The sequence below is a fragment of the Homo sapiens genome, chromosome 6, assembly GCF_000001405.40.
Source record: "Homo sapiens chromosome 6, GRCh38.p14 Primary Assembly".
NCBI lineage: Eukaryota > Metazoa > Chordata > Mammalia > Primates > Hominidae > Homo > Homo sapiens.
Window position 1 is genome coordinate 93,703,712 of NC_000006.12, and position 19,436 is coordinate 93,723,147.

The 19,436-nt window shown below is 37.6% G+C and overlaps 1 long non-coding RNA gene across 3 annotated transcripts in view; it reads left to right on the forward strand.

The window, feature by feature from the left end:
* Positions 1-305: 305 nt before the first annotated feature.
* Positions 306-19,436, forward strand: part of TSG1 (tumor suppressor TSG1) — a 72,604-nt gene continuing 53,473 nt past the window's right edge. Inside the window, exons 1-3 of one of the 3 annotated variants that reach the window (NR_152794.1) lie at positions 306-481; positions 5,005-5,016; positions 16,452-16,582. This is a non-coding gene — a long non-coding RNA (tumor suppressor TSG1). Of the gene's footprint in view, positions 482-3,290; positions 5,017-14,591; positions 15,054-16,451; positions 16,583-19,436 lie in introns of those variants that run through there. The other 2 variants (NR_015362.2, NR_152795.1) reach the window with 2 other exon arrangements.

Below are 19,436 nucleotides of genomic sequence, written 5' to 3' on the forward strand. Positions count from 1 at the left end.
CTTAGATACAGTCTGGTCTTGGTATTGTTTTACACAAGGGTAGAAAATTCTGTTTCATTTTTAAAACAAAGAAAGAAGCAAACAAAAGCTCTCAAACTCAAGTTCCTTTTATTTAGCACACTCTTTCTCTTCCTCCTTAAAATTAAAGTTTTTGGAAGTGCTATCTATTTTCTTTTTCTCCCCAGATACTACAATCTGTTAATCTGCTTCTACTTTGGTAAGGTCACTAATAATAATTAACAAGTATATAATTTTCATTTAGTTTTCTTATTTGATCTCTCACCTTTTAGGCACTGCCAAACCCTTGTTGGAAACCTCACCCATCTCTTGGCTTGCAGGATGTCATCCTCTCCTCCTGTCTGCCTGCCCCTTCTCAGTTTCCTTTACAGAGTTCCTCTTCTCTGCTGTGCACTACATGCAGGGCTCTGCCTGATAAATCAGATTATATCTATTGAGGTCTTCTATTTAAAAGAATTAATTGGTAAGTTTCAACTTTCTCCCCAACCATCACTCAACATATTTAGTTTATAAACCCGGTTTATTACAGTTAGTTATTATTGTTTACATTATAGTTTTATTTTTAGAATTAAAAATGTATAACTAGTATATATTTACAATTATTTAGACTTAGTTATCTGATTACTATCCTTTTTAATGCTCAAAACAGTATTATTAAACTCTTAAATCATTTTGATTTTTCTTCTGGTCATCTAAGCTATACTTTTGAATTCACATGGGAGAGCAAAGAGGGAGAAATATGGAGATAGTATACATTCAGAGTTTTGCATTTCCAAAAGGTATTTTTCTCTCTTTTTTTTCACATTAGAAAAACAAGGTGGTTGTAGGATTTCTAATTCCAAGAATGCTCTACAAACATTTAGGTGTAATTTTTTCTTCTACTAATTAATGCTCTAGAGAATAGAAATTCAATTTTTATTCCTTTCTGATAATAACTTTCTTGAAAAATTATTCCTCATTTTCAACATTAGGTTTTGTTTAGGCCTTGAAACTCATAGATTTCATCAAAAGATAACTAGGTTTACTCCCTTTCGTTCTCTCCCATCTTTATTTCCTTCCTTCCTTCTTTCCTTCCTTCCTTCTTTCTTTCCTTCCTTCTCCCTTCCTTCTTTCTCACTTTCTTTTTTCTTTTTCTTACTTACCTTCTTCCTTCCTTCCTTCCCTCCCTCCCTCTTTCCTTCCCTCCTGCTTCCTCCCTCTGCCTTGCCTTTGCCCTGCCCCTTCCCTTCTCTTCTCTTCCCTTCCCTTCCCTTCCCTTCCCTTCTCTACTTTTTACTCTCTCTCCTTCTGTCTTTCTTTCTGTTTTATGCTTTTCTTTTCTGATACTGAAGGGACATTTTGAATATCAGAATTAGTCTTCAATTGAAGAAAGTTGTAGATTTGTCTGGAAAACATTTTTTTTCGGTAAAATGATATGCTGTGTTGGAAGTCTCAATACTGTAATGATGTCATTACAAATTAACAAATTTATTTATTTGCATCTGCTCTCAAGCAATATTCCTAGAGGATATGTGTGTGTGCGTGTGTCTGTGTGTTTGTTTCAAAAATTGTCAAACTAATTCACATTCCCACCAACAGTGTATAAGTGTTTCATTTTCTCAGCAGCCTCACCACCATATGTTATTTTTTGACTTTTTAATAAAAGCCATTCTGACTGGTGTGAGATGGTATCTCATTGTGGTTTTGATTTGCATTTCTCTGATGATTAGTGGTGATTAGCATTTTTTCATTGGCAGTTTGATGATTTCTCAAAGAATTGAGAGTTGAATTACCATTTGATCCAGCAATCTTGTTACCAGGTGCATACCCAAAGGCAAGTAAATAATTCTACCAAAAGGACACATGCACCCATATGTTTGTCACTATTTACAATAGAAAAGGCATGGAATCAACCCAGGTGTCCACCAATGGCAGACTGGAATATTTTTAAAAATGTGATACATATACACTATGGAATACTATGCAGCCATTAAAAATGATGAAATCATGTTCTTTGCAGCAACATGGATGCAGCTGGAAACCATTATCCTAAGTGAACAAACACAGAAACAGAAAAGCAAATACCACATGTTCTCACTTATAAATGGTCATAAGAATGGTAACAATAGACACTGAGGAATACAAGGGTTAGGAGGGGATTAAGGGTGGAAATAAACTAACTTTTGGGTACTATGCTCACTACCTGGGTGACGAAATCATTTGTACTCCAAACCTCAGCATCACACAATACATGTTTGTAATAAATCTGCACATGTACTCCCTGATTCTAAAATAAAAGTTAAAAGTAAAGAATAAATTGTCAAACTGATTTTATGCTTTCTTCATTGGCTTATTTGTTACTATTTTTTAAATTGACTTTTATTTCTTATCTTTTATAAGAACAGTTTATATTATGGATATTAATCATTCACTGATTTTTTTCTTGTTACTCTGCAGGCCACTTTGCTTTTAACATTTTAAATGATGTCTACCAGCATAAGATCTTAAATATTTTTGTAGACAAGTTTATCATTGTTTTCTATTTTTTTCTTCCTACAGAAGATATTGCTTATATAAAGTTTCTATAAGTACTCTTCTGTAGTTTCCCCCAGATGTTTACGTATGTATTTATATTTAATGTTTTAATCAATCTGCATAACTTGTTTGTATGTGCATGTGTGTGTATATACTGGATGAGGTAAGTCTCTAACATGATTTTTGTCTTTGACTCCATTTTATACAAAATCAATCTTTCTCTCAATGTTTACAAAAATAATGCTTACTGCTAGCAAAATTTATATATATATGCATAGATTTATTTCACACTCTCCGATACGGTTTGGCTGTGTCCCCACCCAAATCTCATCTTAAATATCCACGTGTTGTGGGAAGGACCTGGTGGGAGGTAACTGAATCATGGAGGCAAGTCTTTTCAGTGCTGTTCTTGTGATAATGAATAAGTTGCACGAGATCTGATGGTTTTAAAAACGGGAGTTTTCCTGCACAAACTCTCTTCTCTTGTCTGCTGACACATGAGATGTGCCTTTCACCTTCGCCATGATTATGAGGCCTCCACAGCCATGTGGAACTATAAATCCACTAAATCTCTTACTTTGTAAATTACCCATTCTTGGGTATGTCTTTATAAGCTGCGTGAAAATTGACTGATACAGTAAATTGATGCCAGTAGAGTGGGGTACTGCTGAAAATATAACCAAAAATGTGGAAATGACTTTGGAACAGTGTAACAGGCAGAGGATGGAATAGTTTGGAGGGCTCAGAAGAAGACAGGAAAATGTGGGAAGGTTTGGAACTTCCTGGAGACTTGTTGAATGACTTTTCCCAAAATGCTGGTAGCAATATGGACAACAAAGTCCAAGATGAGGTAGTCTCAGATGGAAATGAAGAACTTGTTGGGAACTGGAGCAAAGGTGACTCTTGTTATGTTTTAGCAAAGAGACTGGAGGCATTTTGCCCCTGCCCTAGAGATCTGTGGAACTTTGAAATTGAGAGATATAATTTAGGGTATCTGGCAGAAGAAATTTCTAAGCAGCAAAGCATTCAAGATGTGACATGGGTGCTGTTATAGGCATTCAGTTTTACAAGGGAAGCAGAGCATAAAAGTTCAGAAAATGTGCGGCCTGGCAATGTAATAGAAAACAAAATCTCACTTTCTAAGGATAAATTCAAGCTGGCTGCAGAAATTTACATAAGTAACTAGGAAATGAATATTAATCCCAAAGAGAAAGGGGAAATTGTCTCCAGGGCATGTCAGAGGCCTTCACAGCAGCCCCTCCCATCGTAGGCCTGGAGGCCTAGGAAGAAAAAGTGGTTTCATGGGCCAGGCTTAGGGTCCTTTGCTGTATGTAGCCTAGGGACTTGGTACCCTGCAACCCAGTGGTTCCAGCTGTGACCGAAAGGGGCCAATGTAGAGCTCAGGCCATGGCTTCACGGGGTGCAAGCCTTAAGCCTTAGCAGTTTCCACATGATATTGAGCCTGGGAGTGCACAGAAGTCAAGAATTGAGGTTTGAGAACCTCTGCCTAGATTGCAGTGGATGTATGGAAATACCTGGATGTCCAGGCAGATGTTTGCTGCAGAGATGGGGCCCTCATGGAGAACCTCTGCTAGGGCAGTGCAGAAGGGAAATGTGGGGTTGGAGCCCCCACATAGAGTCCCTACTGGGGCACCACCTAGTGGAGCTGTGAGAAGAGTGTCACCAACCTCCAGACCCTAGAATGGTAGATCCACTGACAACCTGCACCATGTGCCTAAAAAAGCTGCAGACTCTCAATGCCAGCCTGGTAAAGCAGAAAGCAGCCAGGAGGGAGGCTGTACTCTGCAATGCAACAGCGGCAGGGCTGCCCAAGACCATGAGAACCCACCTCTTGCATCAGCATGACCTGGATGTGAGACATGGAGTCAAAGGAGATCATTTTGGAGCTTTAAGATTTAACTGCCCTGCTGGATTGCAGATTTGCATGGGGCCTGTAGCCCCTTTCATTTTGGCCAGTTTCTTCCATTGGAAATGCTGTGTTTACCCAATGCCTGTATCCCCATTGGATTTAGGAAATAACTAACTTGCTTTTGATTTTACATGCTCATAGGCAGAAGGGAGTTGCCTTGTCTTGGAAGATACTTTGGACTGAGAACTTTTGAGTTAATGCTGAAATGAGTTAAGACTTCAGGGAATGTTAAAAAGACATGAATGGTTTTGAAATGTGGGGACATGAGATATGGGAGGGGCTTGAGTGGAATGATATGGTTTGGCTTGTCCCCACTCAAATCTCATCTTAAATTTCCTTGTGTTGTAGGACAGACCCAGTGGGAGGTAATTGAATCATGGGGCAGGTCTTTCAAGTGCTGTTTTCATGATAGTGAGTAAGTCTCACAAGATCTGATAGTTTTAAAAATGGGAATTTCCCTGAACAAGCTCTCTCTCTTCTCTTTTCTGCTGCCATGTGAGATGTGCCTTTCACTTTCCACCATGATTTTGATGTCTCCCCAGCCACATGGAACTGTAAGTCAATTAAACCTCTTTCTTTGTAAATTTCCCAGTCTTGGGTATGTCTTTATCACCAGTGTGAAAATGGACTAATACACTCTTTATTCTGTTTTACTGACCTATCTGTCTATTACTGTGTGTATGCTACAATGTTTTACTTGTCTGGCTTTTTATTATGATGTCATATTTTCCAGACCACTAATTCTCAATCCTATGTCAGTTCATATCACTAGGGAATTTTTGGAAGGTGTGAAGTGTTTTACAGTGTCACAATGACTGAGGGTATATCATTAGCTTTAATAAGTGAGGGTCAGAGATGTTAAAATATTACAATAAATGAAAAAGTCCAACCCAACAAATAATTACCTTTACCAAAATTTCAATAATACTTCTCGGCCAGAAGTGGTGGCTCATGCCTGTAATCGCAGCACTTTGGGAGTCTGAGGCAGGCAGATCACCTGAGGTCAGGAGTTTGAGACCAGCCTGGCCAACAGAGTGAAACCCCCTCTCTACTAAAAATACAAAAAAATTAGCCAGGTGTGGTGGTGGGTGCCTGTAATCGCAGCTACTCAGGAGGCTGAGGCAGGAGAATTGTTTGCACCCAGGAGGCTGAGATTGCAGTGAGCCAAGATTGTACCATTGCAGTCCAGTCTGGGTGACAGAGCAAGAGTCCATCTCAAAAACAAAAATATTAATAATAATACTTTTATGTAAGAAATTGGTTTCAAGGAAAAAAATAAGCAAGAAATCAAACAAAACTAGTTTAGAATCAGTTTATCAAGTACAATTTAAAAATTTGAATTTGATTAAGAATTATTTAAATTTATTAGCTGATTTGGAGGAGAATGAACAATTACAGAGAATTAAGAATTAAGATTGATGCTTATCATCCATGAAAAAGCATTCTTAATTTGTTTTATATTTATAGGAAAGTTGTATTTTTCCTCCACTCAGATTTTACACATTCTTATCAGATTAATCTAGGGGAAATTTAGAGATTTTCCTATCACTGTAAAGGATTTTTTTAAATATTTCACTACATTTTTATTATGTATATCCATTAGATTTTCCAGTCATGATGGCTTGTGCATGTGACTAGTAAAGACATATATTTTTGTTGTTGTTGTTGAAATTGTACTCAATTCTTTTTCTTCTCACTTGGGAATTTATTTCTTCTTAAATAAATTTTATTGTGTATATTTAAGATATGTAGCATGTTGTTATAAGATATGGTAAAACAGTTATTATAGTGGAACAAATTAACATATCCATCATCTCACATAGTTACACATTGTCCTCCCCCACCCCTTGGCAAGAACAGCTATAATTCACTAATTTAGCAAAACTCCTGAATACAATACACTGTTATTAGCTATAGTCCTCATGGTGTACATCCAGTCTTTCTACTCCTTTATCCCATGTATTTGCTACTTTATATCCTTTCATCTACTTCCGTTATTTTCTCTCTTCACCCTGATAACAATTACTCTACTCTCCCTGTATATATTTGACCTTTATTTTTAGGTTGCATGCAACCTAAAGTGCCAGCAAGTAATATTTTATTTCTGTGTCTGGCATGTGATTTATTTTACTTAGCATAATGTCCTCTAGGTTCATCTATACTTTAATAAATGGCAGTGTCTCTTCCTTTTTTAAGGCTGAATAATATTCCATTGCATTTTTACTACTATTTCTTTATCTATTAGTCCATTGATGGACACCTAGTTTGTTTCTATAGCTTGGCTATTGTGAATAATGCTACAGTGCACATGAGAGTGCAGGTATGTTTATGAGGTGTTGATTTTATTTCCCTTGGGTATATACACAGGGGAGGGATTGTTGTATTACATAGCAGTTCTTTTAGTAGGTTCTTTAGGAACTGCCATACTGTTTTCCATAATGACTGCATCAATCTACATTCCCACCAACAGCATACTCGGGTTCCCTTTCCTCTACACTCTCTCTAACACGCCTTATTTCTGTTTTCTTTTCTTTTATTTATTTATTTATTTATTTATTTATTTATTTTGAGATGGAGTCTCACTCTGTTGCTAGAATGGAGTGCAGTGGTGCGATCTCGGCTCACTGTAAGCTCCGCCTCCCAGGTTCAAGTAATTCTCCTGCCTCAGCCTCCCAAGTAGCTGGGGCTATGGCACACACCACCACATCCAGCTAATTTTTATATTTTTAGTAGAGACGGGGTTTCACAATGTTGGCCAGGATGGTCTCAATCTCTTGACCTTGTGATCCACCTGCCTCGGCTTAGAAATTCTTTTTAACAACAGCTAATTTAACAGGTGTAAAGTCGTATCTCATAGTGGTTTTAATTTGAATTTCCCTGATGATTAGTGATATTGAGCATCTTTTCATATTACCTCTTGGCCATTTTTGTGACATCTTTGGAGAAATTTTTATACAAGTCTTTTGCCTATTTTTAAATCAGGCTATATGTTTTCTTGCTATTGAGTTGCATGAATTCTTTTATAACTCTTGGATATTAACCCCTTATCTAATATTTTTCCAAATTATAGGTTGCCTTTTTATTTTCTTGACTGTTTATTTTGCTGTGCAGGAGCTTTTTAGTTTGATGTAGTCCAGTTTATTTATTTTTGCTTTGGATGCCTGAGCTTTTGATGTGATATCCAATAAATTATTGCAAGGCAAATGTCAAAGAACTCTTCATCTATGTTTTCTTCTAGGATTTTTATGGTTTCAGGTCTTACATTTATATTTTTTATACATTATTTTTTTTTTTGAGACAGAGTCTCGCTCTGTTGCCCAAACTGGAGTGCAACGGCTCAAGCTCTGCTCACTGCAAGCTCTGCCTCCCAGGTTCACGCCATTCTCCTGCCTCAGCCTCCCGAATAGCTGGGACTACAGGCGCCTGCCACCACGCCCGGCTAATTTTTTGTATTTTTAGTGGAGATGGGGTTTCACCGTATTAGTCAGGATGGTCTCGATTTCCTGACCTCGTGATCCGCACACCTCGGCCTCCCGAAGTGCTGGGATTTCAGGTGTGAGCCACCGTGCCCGGCCACCTTTTATATATTTTTGAGTTGATTTATGTGTATGGTGTAAGATAAAGGTCTAATTTCATGCTTTTGCAAATGAAGACATGGTTTTCTTAAAATAATTTATGGAAGGATTAACCTTTCACCATTGTGTCTTTTTGGTGCCCTAGTCACAAATTAATTGACCATGTATGTTTCAATTCATTTGGGGGCTCTATATTTTGTTCCCCTCATCTATGTGTCTGCATTTATGTTGGAACCATGCTATTTTGATTACTATAGCATTGTAATATGATTTTAAATCAAGAAATGTGATGCTTCCAACTTTGTTTCCCCACTCCTCTGCCTCAGGATTGCTTTGGCAATTTAGGGGTTTTTTTGGGTGTCCAATTTTAGCATTAGTTTTTCTATTCTGTGAAGAATGCCATTGGGATATTAATAGGAACTGCATTAAATCTATATATTGCTTTAGGTAGTATGGACTTTTTAACAACATTAATTCTTTTAATCCATGACCATGGAATATATTTTATTTATTGGCTTTTTCTTTAATTTCTGATATTGTTTGGCTGTGTCCCCACCCAAATCTCATCTTAAATTGTAGATCCCATAATCCCCACGTGTTGTGGGAGGGACCCAGTGGGCAGCGGCAGGTAGTTTAATTATGGGGACAGTTGCCCACATGCTGTTCTCATGATAGTGAGTGAGTTCTCACAAGATCTGATGGTTTTATAAGGGGCATTTCCCCATTTTTGCTCAGCACTTCTCCTTGCTGCCACCATGTGAAGAAGGATGTGCTTGCTTTACCTTCTGCCATGATTGTAAGTTTCCTGAGGCCCCCCTCAGCCATGCTTAACTGTGAGTCAATTAAACCTCTTTCCTTTATAAATTACCATGTCTCAGGTATGTCTTTATTAGCAGCATGAGAATGGACTAATACAATTTCTTTCATCAATGTTCTATAGTTTTCAGTGGACAATCTTTCACCTCTTGGTTAAATTGATTCCTAAGTATTTTATTTTATTATTTAATATTATCATAAATGGGATTCTTTTCTTGATTTTTTTTTGGGTAGGCAATTCTCTGTGTATAAAAATGTCATGGGTTTTTATATTGATTTTATATTCTGAAATTTTACTGAACTCATTAATTAAAGCTAACAGTTTTTCAATGGAATCTTTGGCATTTTCTACATATAGGATTATGTATTCTGCAAATAGAGACAATTTTACTTCTTCTTTTCAGGTTTGGATACTTTTTATTTATTTTTATTTGTCTAATTGTTCTTGACAGCACTACCAGTACTATGTTGAAAAGAAGGAGCTAGAGTGTGCATATTTGCCTTGTGCCAGATCTTAAAGATAAAGTCTCAGTTTCTCCCCATTAGCTATGATGTTAGCTATGGGTTTTTCATAAATGGCCTTTATTATGTTAAGGAACTTTCCTTGTATACCTAAAGTCTTAGAAGTTTTTTATCAAGAAATGATGTTGAAATTTGTTGAATGCTTTTGCTGAATCAATTGTTATGATCAGGTAGTTTTTGCCTTTTATTCTATTAATATGATGTAACACATTTGTTGATTTGCATTTGGTAAACCAGCTTTGCATACCAGGAATAAATTCTACTTTATCATGATGCATAATTTATTTTATGTGCTGTTGAATTTGATTTGCCAATATTTTTTGAAGAATTTTGCATTAATATGCATAAGAGATATTGGTCTGTAGTTTTATTTTCTTGTGGTATCTTTGGCTCACATGTGATAGTCATGCTGGCCTTGTAAAATGTGCTAAGAAGTATTCTACTGTTTGGAAGAGTTTTAAAACTATTGGTATTAATTCTTCTTTGAAAGCTTTGTAGAATTCAAAGGTAAAGCCATCTGGTCCTGGGCATTTTGTGGGGGGAAGGTGGGGAGGCTTTTAATTACAGCTTTAATTTATTCTTTTGTTATTGGTCTCTTCAGGCTTTATATTTCTTTTTGATTCAATCCTGTTAGGTTGTAATTTTCTAGGAATTTATCTATTTTTTGAGGCTATCAAACTTATTGGCATATAATTTTTCTAATAGTCCAACATCCTTTTTGTTTCTGAGGAGTCTGTTTTAATACATCCAATTTTACTTCTGATTTTACATACTTGAATCTTCTCTCGTTGTTTCTTAGGTAATTTAGCTAAGATTTTGTTAAATTTTGTGTATTTTTAAAAAATAACCATTAGTTTTATAGCTATTTTTGTATAGGTTTTCTGTTATTTATTTATTTATTTTCTATTCTTTACCATTTTATTCCTTTTGCTAACTTTTGATTTAGTTTGTTCTTTTTTTCCTAGATCCTTGAGGCATAATGTTAGGCCATTCATTTGAGAAACATTTTTTTTTCATTTTTTTCTTCATTTCTGAAGGACAGATACAATGGGTATAGTATTCTTGGTTGACAGTTTTTGTTCTGTTTTGTTTTCTCACACTTTGAATAAAACATCTCATTGTCTCCTGGCCTATAAGGTTTCTGCTGAGAAATATGCTGATAGTCTACATGATTTTCTGCTATGTCACTTGACACTTTTCTCTTGCCACTTGTAAAATTCTCTTTGTCTTTGACTTTTGATAGTTTAATAATAATGTGCCTCAGAGAGGACCTTTTTGGGTTGAATCTGTTTGAGAATATTTGAGCTCCATGGATCTGGATGTTTATATTTCTTCCAAGACTTGGGGTTTTTTCAGTAATTATTTCACTAAATAAGCTTATTGACCTTATCTTCATCTCTCTTCTTTCTAGAACTCCGATGCTGTGAATATTTAATTTACTTAATTGTGTCCCAGGAGTCTCATATGCTATTTTTATTATTTTTTATTATTCTTTCTTTTTATGCTGTCACTTGGTAATTTCAAAAGACCTATCTTTAAGTTCACAGGTACTTTCTTCTGCTAGATCTAGTCTATTGATGAAGCTCTTGATTATATTTTACATTACATTTATTGAATTCTTCAGCTTCAAGATTTGTGTTTGGTTCTCTTTTATGATATTTATCTCTTTGTTAAATTTCTCATTTAAAGCATGAACTGTTTTTTTCTGATTTTTTCGAATTACCTTTATGTATTCTCTTTTATCTTGTTGAGTTTTCTTAGGATTATTATTTTTAGTTTTTTGGGGGGAATTTGTAAATTTTCTTTACTTTAAGAAAGCTACTGGAGAATTATTGTGTTCCTTTGACGGTGTATACTTCTTTGCTTTTTCATGTGGTTTGTGCCCCTGTGTTGATGTCTGCACATCCAGTAGAAAAATCACCTCTCCAAATTTTAGATTGGCTTTCATAGAAAAAGATTTTTACCTTCAGATGGACCTTAGAGTACCAGAGGGAAAGGGTATGTTGACTGTTTCTGAGTGGATGCGATAGTATAGCATCTATGCCATACTATCAACTCCTTCATTTGCACTCAAAATCAGAGATGACTCTGGATGCCTCAGAGGCCTAGGCTGTAGGAGTCTATGGAAATGGCTATGGAAGTGTAGGTTGTTAAGACCCTTGGTTTCAAGGGCTTTTGGGATTCTTCTCTCCTCATTTTTCCTTACAATAGACAGTCTTGGTTCCTTCTTGGGGTCCAAGGGGGATATTTCTTCAATATACAAAGGGGATCCCTCTTCATGTTGAATATGATACAGCCCACAATCAGCTTCAGAAGTTATGGGTTCTAGACTGCAAGTGCTCAGAGTGGTTGTGGTGCTGAGGTCCTGGTCTCAGGGTCCAGAGAACCTATTGTGCCACCTGGGTCTCAGGGCATATGTTCAGTTTCTGAGTCAGTGTGGGATGTGGATTGCCTACAAAGCTAGGATCTGTGACTCTGAGAACCCCCAGAAGCTCAGGCCCTGGGGGACAAGTTTTAGCTGTAATTCTGTCCCTGAAGGGCAGGGTATAGAAATGCCCTGGCTCCAGGGAAAAGAGGATTCCCTGAAGATTTGAGCACACCCAGCAGAGTACAGCTGGAATTTGAGAATGAGATCCAATAGGGCACTATGGCTACTCAGTCACCAGAAGATGCAGCATCACATAGTGGTGACTCTGGATCTAAGATGGTGGTATACAGCAGTGTTTTCAGGTTCAGTGGCAGCAATAAACCCAGAATGGCAGAGCAAGCAATCACTTGAGCCCTGGGGGACAGGGGACAGCTCAGTGATGATTCCATTCCCTGGGTAGGACGTTGTGTCAACAGCTCAGACTCTAGGGTGTTATTCTAGTTCCAGAGCAGCAGGGTACTACAGTTGTTTGGCCTATATGGGAGTGTGTCTCAGCTCGGTCAATCCTCTGTTTCCCTGGGATGTGGGGTACCATGTCAGTTCAGTTCTGGGATGCACAGATGCTTGACTTGGCCAAAGCACAAATTCCCCATGAGTCAGGGCTCCATTTCAGCTCAAGCACAAGAAGGGTGTGACTGCTCTGGGCAGCTAAAGTACCATTTCTCTGTGAGGTAGCACACTGCTTCAGCTTAGCCCCTGAGGGGCATGGCACAGCAGTAGCTGAGAAAAGCCGATGGAATGGCTTCATGGCAACTTGTCCCCATATGTTAGCATGTAGTATAAGCTTGGCCCAAGGGTGATGAGCCATGAGGTGAGAGTGGTTCAGAGGTGACAAAGCCTAACTGATGGAAGGGTATCTTGATTATTTGTCCCCAAGCAATATTTATGGTTCCAAGATGGTGTAGTATGATAGTGGTTTGGGCCATGTTGGGAGGTATGAGTGGGATGGACACAGTGTTGATGCCTTCTCTGGGTCAGGGGGTGGGGTGCAGCTGTGTGCATCCCAGGCAGCTCCCTCAGCTGGGCTTAGTGCTTGTGAGGATTGCAGTAGTCCCTACTGTGAGGACTGTAGGTATTCAAGGTGGTGATGGGGGATGATGGGGAATTTGCTTACCTTTTCCCTATAGGAAGAATTTCCCCTTGGTTCTAAGTGGATTCCAACTAGGTGATGGAGTGACAGAGGCAAGATGTTTCCTTCTGTTCTCTATGTGGCTATCCTGGGCTTCTTTGATCTACAAGGTTTCTGTTACTTCTTTCGTGTACTCCAGTGCTCTCCTTCCGTTATTTTCATTAGAAAATATTATTGTTTCTGCTGTCTTTGTAGGGGAGATGAGTGCTGGGGGCTTCTAGTTGGCCATCTTGCTCTCAATCATTTTTTTGGAAGTGTTTTACTAGGCTTACTTTTAAAAATTTGTGTTTTATGAATTCCTTTGTTTTCTTTTGAGATAATCATGTTTTCTGCAAGAGTGATATTTTCCTATCATTCTCACATATCCTATATGTATTAGTTTGTATAATCAAATTAACTAGAAGCAGAAGCAGTAGTCACAGTGGCATCCTTGCCTTATTTCTCATTTTAATGGAATCTCCATTAATGTTTTATCAGCACATATATTGTGTTTTGGTTCTTATTAGATATGCTTAGCTAAATTTTCTTTCTATTCTCAGGATATTAAGTACTTTTTATAAAGAAACTTTAATCTGAAGACAAGTGTTTCAGCTTTGAGAAAAACACTTTTGCAATGATTATTGCTTAATTTGTTTAGGATAAGATAAAAAGTGGGAGATACTTAATTGACCAAGTTGTTACAGTGACAGTTTAAAAAGTGATTACAGTAAGAGTTGCACAAATGTTCCTTCTCTTTGTACTCATACATTTTTAATTATGTTTTCCTCAAACTTGAAGTGACTCTAATGTTGCTATTACTTCAATAGTACCACAAATAGGTAACTAACACCTATAAAGTGTATACTATGTGCTGGGCAGTATTCCATGTGATATATATATATATACCAATTTTTCCTCAAGGTGTATCATTTGGTAGAGATATTATTGTCTTTATTGTAGAAACATTGAACCAGTTATAGTAAAGAAAAAGTGATATTTTCAAAGCCATCCAGCTGATTATTGGCCATAATGGAAGGTATCGGGTGATGATGGCACATTACCCAAATGCCTCTCACAACCCCTCCCCATTTAAATCTCAAATAATGATTTCCTCTGTTATATTTCTGTATATCACCAAGAGATGAACTTCTGTTTCTCTCCTGTTTGTTTTGCATTCTTTCTCATGCATAATAATGATCTATGTTTGGATTTGTGTCTTTTGGATCCACCATTTATTATTTTCTGCTGTATGTAGCAGTGGTAGTATCCAGCAACAGATCTTGTTGATGGCACTGGTAGTACCTCTGGGGCATCCAAACAAGAGTATTTCTTCATCATACTCTTGGCCGTGGTTCCCTCTACAAAGCTTCTGTTGTTTTCTGCCCATTTTCTTAGCAGGTACCCCATCATGCCAGCTAATTCTGTGAGCTACCCAACATTCTTTCAACAATTATCCTTTTAGCTAGAACTGCTTTTTCTGCTCACATCCAAAATTTCCAACTGAGAGAGAAATTGGTACCTGGGAATGGGGTGCATCAGATACTTTCAAGGAAATGTGGAAACTATTAATTGTTCATCTGGCATAGCTGGGGCAGAAACCAGTCAAAATCTTGCTTAAATGCCAAGACAGGAATTCAGTAATAGTGAAAAAGTTAATCAAATTGTTGTCTGTAGTCACCTGGCATCATTGCAGTGATGCTTTGGGAATTGAATTGCCCCCACCACAGAATAGTGGGGTGTACGTGAGGAATTTATGGACTTAGAGAAGGGGCAGCTGTTTTGAACATCAATGGACAGCTTAAAGAAACAGAATGACAAGTTAAAATCCTTGAATTCTAGGCTCATAGCACAGACTGAAATACATGGAGTTTCTAGGATCAAGATAAAAGAATCTCTTATCTTTTGTTGCTGCAGGGACTGAGCTGGCAAAAAACAAAATGTGGTATTAGAGATAGTAAAATTAGACTATCAGTTGAATTCAGAGCTTTTCCTCGTCTCTTACGTAAAAATTAGAGAATTGGTAGGGAAAGATATTTTGGCACCCTGAACACTAACTCCCATTGATAGCCCATTGACACTGAAGAATACACTATGAAAATTCCTTGTACCTCTTCTTAAAGACACCCATCGCGACTTACCAAGGTAAGGATGCCCTGGGAAAATGGAACTGCTAAGATCTTTTGGAGATGCTTAGACACAAGCATTAAACACATTAATCTATTTTGCCAATTGGGAGGATTTTCTCTCTGAAACCTACTGGATGACTTGTGGAGCTCATGGGCAAAATAATGCCACGAGAAGTCCAGTTTTCTCTTGTGCTTTGATAATAGTTTCAAATTGCCTTAAATATCAACTTACCAGAATTTACGGCAAATGGCTGCCAGTTTGCCTAGAAACTAGATAAGGGATCTCAAAGGAACTGACGTGGGGGACTAATGACAGATTTTTTTTTTTTGGTGGGAGTGGGGCATTGGGGAAGAGAATCATGGAAGAATTTTTTAAAATGGGCTCAGAACATAAAGAATATTCATGCTACATATTAATGCAAAGGACATTTCTAGCCAAACAGCTCATACATTTAGATGGACAAGATAACCTAATCTCCCAATGTAGGTCATCTTCCTTCTATAGCAACTTTAGAATTTAATGAACAAAGTGGCCATGATTGAAAAGATAGTGGCTACTCACAAGCACAACAACACAGGTTTCCCCTTAGCAGTGTACCAAGATATTTTACCAAAAGTAGTAAATACAAACCTACAATACTATAGGATAACTGTTTGGACAAGTGTTTGTTTGAAGTCAGTTGATGATTGTTTTACTGCTTTTGTCGTGAAGGATTCATGTAGTGCCTCAAGTCAGCATCGTTATACCTTACACAACTGAATGCTTAATTCAATGTCATTATATTTCTCATAATTTCTTCCAAGCAAGGAACTCAATTTCCTATGAACAAAGCAGGAAAATGGGGTAATGCCCTTAGGTTACTTTAGTCTTATATACTTTATTGAAGAATAAGTTAGGTATCATGTCATAGGATACTACCTATGATTTGAAACATTTGAAACATATATATTGCTATTTATTTCAGTCAGTACACAATAGAATTGAAATTAGTACATCTTCCAATTAAACCTAATTAGTTATTCACAATATCTTTATTCCTATCTCTGAAATAATGGGAATACTGGTTTAGAAACTAGTAATATTCAAGGGAGAAATGTTACACCAGGGTATTCAGTAATGGTTGCATGGGAGTAAACATTGCCAGCTGGCCAATTCAGAATCTCATGACCTGAGTCAGCAAACAATCAGGTGGGTTAGTGTGTTGTATAGGGTAATTGATATTGAAAGTCAAGAGGAAAGATAATTGATGATACATAATACATCAGGAAGGGTGGGTCCCCAGTTGGTCCCATGGGGAATTTTTATGTGACCATATTTATTTGTAAAAGACTGAGCTGTACATATAAAACTGGCAGGAGTTCAGAACCCCTAAGAATGAAAGATTTACATAAATCTACTTTTCCTTTCTTTCAGTCACTACTATGGCAAGATCAAGACTGGATCTAGGAGATCTCGGTTCAATATGGAGATTATCCAGAGATTCTACTGTTGGAGCCAGATGCTATAACTGAAGAGGGTTAAAACTGTCTCCTTTTGGGACACCGGTAAACTGGATTTTTGCTATGAGAGGAAGTTTCATAGTACAAGACAGGAAGTTTTTTTGATTAGAATGGGCAAAAGATTTTATATGAATTCTAGGTTGCCAAAGAGATAATTGCTAGTGGGAATGTTGTGAACCTATCATGCACATGTTTACCTTATTTGGGATTAAAATCCATACTATGGGCTGGGCGTGGTGGCTCACGCCTGTAATTCCAGTACTTTGGGAGGCCGAGGCGGATGGATCATGAGGTCAGGAGTTTGAGAAGATCCTGACTAACATGGTGAAACCCTGTCTCTACTAAAAATACAAAAATTAGCCGGGCATGGTAGCATGCATCTGTAGTCCCAGCTACTCCATTCCACTCCAGTCTGGGTGACAGAGCAAGACTCTGTCAAAGAAAAAAAAAAAAAAAAAATCCTTACTATGTAAATCTTGGAGGAAGCCAGAATTTAAGGTCAGACTGAAAAGGTCATATATTCTTCTTTCTTTCCCCTGGCACCTAGAGCAGGGCAACTGACTAGGTTCAACCTACTGGATGGCCCACTTTGAATTTTCAGGAAGTAATACAAAATTTAAAAAGGCCTGTGAAAAATTATTGACCATCGCTGTGTTCACGGCAGCTGTGCCCAGTGACAGTAGGTCTGGTTCAGTGGTATTCAGGAACAACAGAGTGAGTGGTTCTTGTGTTCTAACCAGGAAATTCCTCCAGTGGAAATTACCTGTATTTTCTGATGTTTGACCTTCCTGTTTTCCCAAATATTGTTATCAAGCTTTTGAGTTAATTCTAGTATCTACTCAGTAGGCTCCTGTCTATTGAATCTTTTCAGGATTCAAATCCAACTTCAACATTACCTCCAATCAAATGCTCTCCCTGGACCCTACATTGCTAATTGAAATGCCATTCTAAAAGCTTCATATTATAGCTCCTGTCATGGCACTTCTCATATTTTGTTATAATTGTTTTCTTTGTCATATTAACTTCCCAAGTAGAAAGTCGAAAGGACTAAAACTTTCCTGTGGTTAAGAAAATCTAGCCTCATATAAGGTTTGATAAAGTAGGAATCCTGCAACTGTGTTTCTAATCAATGAGTATAGTTGACCTCTGGTTGTTACCTTACATAGTTACTAAGTTATTGCCTCTCAGCTCACGCTGTTTCTTCTACACTCTGCGCTGTGAAGCTGGACTGGAAATCTGCAAGCTTCATGTCTGCTTTGCCAGCTGCCTTCCTCTTAGCCTTGGCTAGTAGAAAGCACTAGAGGGAGCTGTAAGGATGGAAGAGGGAAAAGAGACTTGCTCCATTTTGTTTGTTTGGTGCTGGCTTCCCATTTGCTTCCTGTCATTGAGCATCACCTTAGCCTCATCTCACCTCTTCCTGCTGGTAGCAGCAGTTTGTCTCTGTAGAATGTTTAATTGACTTTGCAGTTCTTCAACATTTGCAGAATCACTCTCAATGTGCTCCTGCAAAAATAGCAGCCCCTGATGCTGTCAATCAGCATTCCTCTTCAGAGGCCTGGGTCCTAGTCCCATAAGATATTTCCCTCAAGCAAAGAGACACAGGCATGGGTGAAGCAGCACACTTTATCTGAGGTCTGAGTTTCAGCTCTGCACAGATCTTCCTCCAAGACTGTGTTTGCATACCCGGTCATAGTAGGGTAGCTGCAGCCTATAGAAACTCCTTCCATAACAATGCAATTATTTTTCTTTTTGCCATTTTAAGTCTTTAGTACCTAATTAACAATTGTTTATATAAAACCATTTCTGTTAAAATAACTGACTTGATTTTGTCTTCTGAATGGACCCTAACTGATACACAATCATTCTAGAGTAATATATGCAAAAGCATGCTTGATGTTACCCTGAACTGTTCTGGCCCATTTAAACCACAAGTATGCAGAAAAGTGCATCCTTCTGCATGTGATATATTGACTCAGAGAACTAGAACAATTCAGGTGCTTAGGCCAATTTGAATTGTATTTTCAGTATTCAAAATCAAAAGATGTAATGAGGATGTTCATGTTTTACTCTATTTTTGTATTGTTTATTTATAAAATTAATCATGTCAGGGTATTGCATATAACAGATTATGTCCTCAAATTGGATAATTTGAGATGAAATTAATAAAATGATGACCTACAAACCTGGAACAGGGTATAGAGAAATCAAAAGAGATTTCTATACCCCAGGGCCAGTTATAGTGGAGAGACCTGTAATCACCCTTATATCTGAAAGGACTAAAACCCGTAGAGCGATTCATGTAGCAAGCATCACCCGTCAAGAGCTGTGACCTTTGGCAGAGGTATACAATCAACCTGCAGAAAAGAAGCGAGGAAAATAAATTTTCCTACCTACCTCTGATCTCCTGCCAGGGATATCCATTAGCCAAACTCCACTAGAAACTGCAGGGCAAGGGAAACACTTGATGCAGTTCATAGAGATCGTTGTCCTGTGGGTCTACCAGGGAGCAGTGGAGGGCAGAAGATCTGATGGAGTGAATGGAATACAGCTTCAAAAAACGGGTTAATTATAAGCATAATTGAGATTTTTTAATAATGGAACGTTTTCAGGAAGAAATCTTTTTGAATAAATGAGGAATATATTCTGAGGGCAGGGAGAGAATGGGAAGGGAAGAGAGGAGAACATTTACAAAGTATTTCTGGAAGCATAGAAGTTAAATATCAAAGGAAAACACTCTGTCATCTGAAAACATGAGAGGAATTGGAAATATAAGTGTTCTAAATAACATTTTTACTTTTAACAATAAATACAGATTTTTAACACACTTTCATCTTGATTCTGGGAAGCATTTTAGTGCTCAGTAGCATTAAGAAACACTGAAACAGATTGACAAATACCT